General features: G+C 38.0%; 1 annotated feature.

The window, feature by feature from the left end:
* Nucleotides 1,518-2,171: an enhancer, noted in NCBI's record as "NANOG-H3K27ac hESC enhancer chr2:53461473-53462126 (GRCh37/hg19 assembly coordinates)". NCBI's record gives its function as "activates a minimal SCP1, AML or CMV promoter by ChIP-STARR-seq in naive H9 embryonic stem cells {active_cell/tissue: H9 hESC(naive)}" and the evidence as "EXISTENCE:reporter gene assay evidence [ECO:0000049][PMID:30033119]".

Raw genomic sequence — 4,254 nt, 5'->3', positions numbered from 1 at the left:
TAATAATGAGAAAGTTTGAAATATTGCAAGAATTATCAAAAGGTAACAGACAGGAAGTGAGCAAATGTGTTTGGGAAAAAGGAAACTGATAAACTTCCTTCACACAGGGTTGCCACCAACCTTCAATTTGCAGAAACACAATATACATAAAGCACAATAAAGCAAAGTGCAATAAAATGAGGTGTGCCTGTACTACCTACCCATTCAAACACTGTATTTTTGTTCCTTTTCAAATGATAATTGCCCTCAGTTTATAGAGATAAAAAAATTCTATATTTTAACTTCTTCCTGTTATTCATAAAGTTGTGGGTGAGTAGAGTCATTAATATATGTCATGTTCTGTCATGAATGCTGGTCAGAAATTAAGGGAAAATTAATTGCAAAGAATATACTTCTGTGGCAAACATGTCAGAAGCCATGATTTACTACTGCAACTAGACTGTCTGATTCAGATGGTGGTTGGCAGGGCAGCCTGGGTTATGACCGATGTGGCTGACTGATCACCACTGAAAGGCAGCATTAATAATGTGCTTTCAGAGATTGTAAATGTAGGTAAGTAGAAGGTTGCCTTTACAAGTAGAGAAGCTGGAGATTTTGCTCTAAATATGCTCTTCTTCTTTCTCCCAAATCTGCTTAAATATAGGCCATGCTTATGTTATCATTCAGAATCAGCCAAGTTGTAGGAAAACTTTAGCATTTTGACTAAAAGTTACCCTGAGACAGCAGTTAAAATCTCTATTCATAAAACAAATCCTAAAGAGCAGCGTTTTATCACAGACACCAGTGTGGTCTCTTGTCATCATTTTTGAGTCTGTCTATGGACTAATAATCAAGCAGCTAAAAATAACAACAACTACTGTTGTCCCTCAATTGGAGGTTAAGGCCAGCCATTGTCAGGAGTTAGCATAGTCTAGACACTAAACAAGATGTGAGGAACAAGAAGCAGATAGTAATCTATAAGCAGTTTTAGCAAAGCTTTGCATCTTGATCTATTGCCCGTTTATCTCCGTGGGGAAGCCCGTTTTGTACCCTGTGGGACATTTCCAAGACTATTTGCTTCTGCCCATTTGTACCACTAGGCTATTTGCGTGGTTTCAGGACAAATGAAATAACACTCTATAGAAACCCTAAATTATTCTAACTTGTCTCTATATTTTATATCAGATAGAAATGAGTTGGAGAGATCTTAACTTCTGGTTCATGATAATTTCTGAAGAAAAGTTTGATATTTGCTGCTTATTAATTAAAAAAACTTTGTCTTCTGGCTTTTCTTGGATAATTGTAGGAACTCAGGGCATAAGGGTAACAATAAGAATAAAACGTTCATCTGTCTAGTATGAATTTATTCAACTATTATATTTGTATATTTTGCCTTAAGCATTTTTTAATATTTCCTGAATGCATTTTATGGTTTATCTGTCTTTGGTTGTGATTTTCAAGAGAATAGTATTCGTGGTGGTTGTTTGTGCCCTCTTTAAGCAAGTTAGTTGTATAATAAATACTGCTTGAAATTAATAGTGGTGGTTACTCCTATATCCATTTGTCTTCAGTATTAGCGTAATGGACCTGATTTGGAGCTGGCTGATTTTGGGTTTGAATGTGACTCTGGAAATGTCTTAGTGAGTCTCCATACAATAATAAAATTTTCAGCTTGAATGCCAAACAGTTTTTTTGACAAAGAGGTACAGGATAAATAGAGCTTCAGAAAATGCCTGAGAATTCACAGAAAGAAGCAAAATGTGAAGATGCAGGACAGAGGATTCAAATTACACTGGAGAGACAGCAGTGTTGCAACACCAGGTGGTCATTGCTAGAGGAGGAAGCAAAGCCAACAATATGCGCCCTGCAAAGCTTCCTGGAGAAAAGGGAAAGCTCCTTAACAGCCCTTATGATGAAGATTCTTACCTTAAAAGGAATTTTCAGCAAGAGCCTAAGATCAAGAAGCTTTTTGACAATAATGATACAGCGAATACTTTATCCTAGCTCACGAAAATAAAGGGCAGAAACTCAGTTGTTAGAAAAAGGGAAAGATTAGATGTGTTTGGGAGATGGAGAAAGTTAGTTCACAAGGAAATAGCCTCTACTTAGTGTATAGGGAGGATAAATCTGCCTGACACTTGGGACCCAGGGATTCCTGAAACTTCAGGTGTGTGGTAGGATGGGAGGTGGGAATGGAGAGGAATGAATCTGTGAGAGTTTCAAGTATCTGGCACAAGGGTAGGGAAATACTCTGTTGAAAAGCTTCTTGAGGTGGCTTTGACTGGCGGGAACAGTGGAGACAAGAGCAGGTGGCAATGGCCACCTGCCACACAAGATCTTAATTGTTCTACTTTTTGCTCAAACCCTCTGCATGTGGGATATTACTCTAGGAACAGGTGGTTGCTGTGGCAGCGAGGGTGGCACCTGTTACTTCAATTGGAGACAAGATCTCCTGGGCCTGCAGAGATAGACAGCTGACAATGGCAGAGACATGCATTTAGGAGGTAGAGGAAAATACACCTGAGCACCCAGAAGTCTTCTTCCTGCTATCTGAGCCAGAGAAACTGAAGGGTCAGAGTTGCCAGATTCTGCAACATCAGCACACTAGAAGTCTGGGAACTTCCTAGGAAATCATGATAAATGCTTAATGAACAGCCCATATTTTCTGTGCCACATGGCATGTCACTTTGTTCTTCACATCACTCAGTTTAACAACCTGACTCCAAATTTTTTTGTTCCCTTTGATTGGGTTCCCTGGCTTTGGGTGTTTACTGTCCTGGAAGCTACATAGGATCTTTGTTCCATGCACAAAACAGTGTAAAGAGGATCATTTTTGCAAGTGTTAAATTTCTTGCTTTAAATTATTGGCTGAGCCAAGGGTTTATTTTCCATGAACAGGTACTATACTGTGACTAGAATAGTGACTTTCAAACTTTTTTGACTACCATGACTCATAGGAATAAATTTGTTTTACATCAAGACCCAGTAGACAAACCTATGCATATAGAAAAGCTAGAAAGTTTAATAATACTGCAGCAATGTGCTATATAGTATAATTTTCTGGTTTTATTCTATTTTGCTTTCGAAAATGCTTTTTGTATTTCACAAAACTTATTTTGTAGCAGACAATGTGGAACAATCTGCATTTTAAAAAACGCTAGTCAAGAACAAGGGTGAACAAATTATAGCCGGGGCCAAATCTGCTTTTTTTAAATAAAGTTTTATTGGACCACAGCCATATGTATTCATTTACATATGGGCTATGGATACTTTTATGTAGTTGTGACAGAGACCATGTGGCCCAGAAAACCTAAAACATTTACTGTCTCTTCTTTTACAGATAAATGTACTGACACCTACTCTGGAACAAAGACAGGCAGTTTGGGTACATAAATGAGTATACATGTATAGTTTATATTTACATTTATATTCATATTTTTAGGTACATGCTTACCTGTATATAGGTCTATCTATAGTTAGGTGTTCTCAAATAATCTCCCAGTACATTTCAAAATATACTTAGGCCACCTAGAATGCAGTGTCCACTGAAGACATGTCTTGGGAATGCTTACTGTTTGCTGCCTTTGAAGTGTGTGAATAGCATGAATGTTTTAAGGTTGCCTGTTTTGGGGAGTTGTGGTCACTTATAATGGGGCTGGACAACTTGAAGAAAGAATGATAATAAAAATTTTTTAAATTTTTGGCACAAAAGATGGATCATTCACAGGGACTTTCTATACAACTTTTAAAAAAATTTTCTATATTTTAGAGCTTTAAGACCAAGAGAAAATAAAATAAGTTTCATCTTGCAGGTTGCTGATATAATTTCCGTTGAATTCATGGCTTTTATCAAATTGGTGCAAGAGTAAGGACGTTGATTGTTTTAACTATTGTGGGAAGGTAGGAAAAGTGTTTAATGAGGGCTGCTAGATGTGCTGGATGCTCTGGGGAAAACCTTAGGGTCCAGGTGGAGATACTGGGCACATACACATGACCACAGGATGAGAGGCCACTGGCAGTACCTAGTGATGACCAAGTAAGTGCAGTGGACATTCAAGACTGAAGGATATCAGAGAAAAAAAGCTGGAGAAATCTTAGGGTGCTAAGGACTGGGAGTTAGGAAGATGTGAACCTGGGATCCAGACTACTCCTGCCACTCAGGCTTAAATCATGTAATCTTTCTGAAACTCCCGAGTCCTTATCTGTTAAAATAGGAGTTGGGTCACGGATGGTTCTAGAATTACCTTATTGTTCTACATTTTATGGTTTCTCGGT

Source organism: Homo sapiens, chromosome 2, assembly GCF_000001405.40.
Source record: "Homo sapiens chromosome 2, GRCh38.p14 Primary Assembly".
In the NCBI taxonomy this organism is placed as follows: domain Eukaryota; kingdom Metazoa; phylum Chordata; class Mammalia; order Primates; family Hominidae; genus Homo; species Homo sapiens.
The sequence above is the reverse complement of the archived record's forward strand: the minus strand, read 5'-3'. Positions and strand labels throughout refer to the sequence as shown.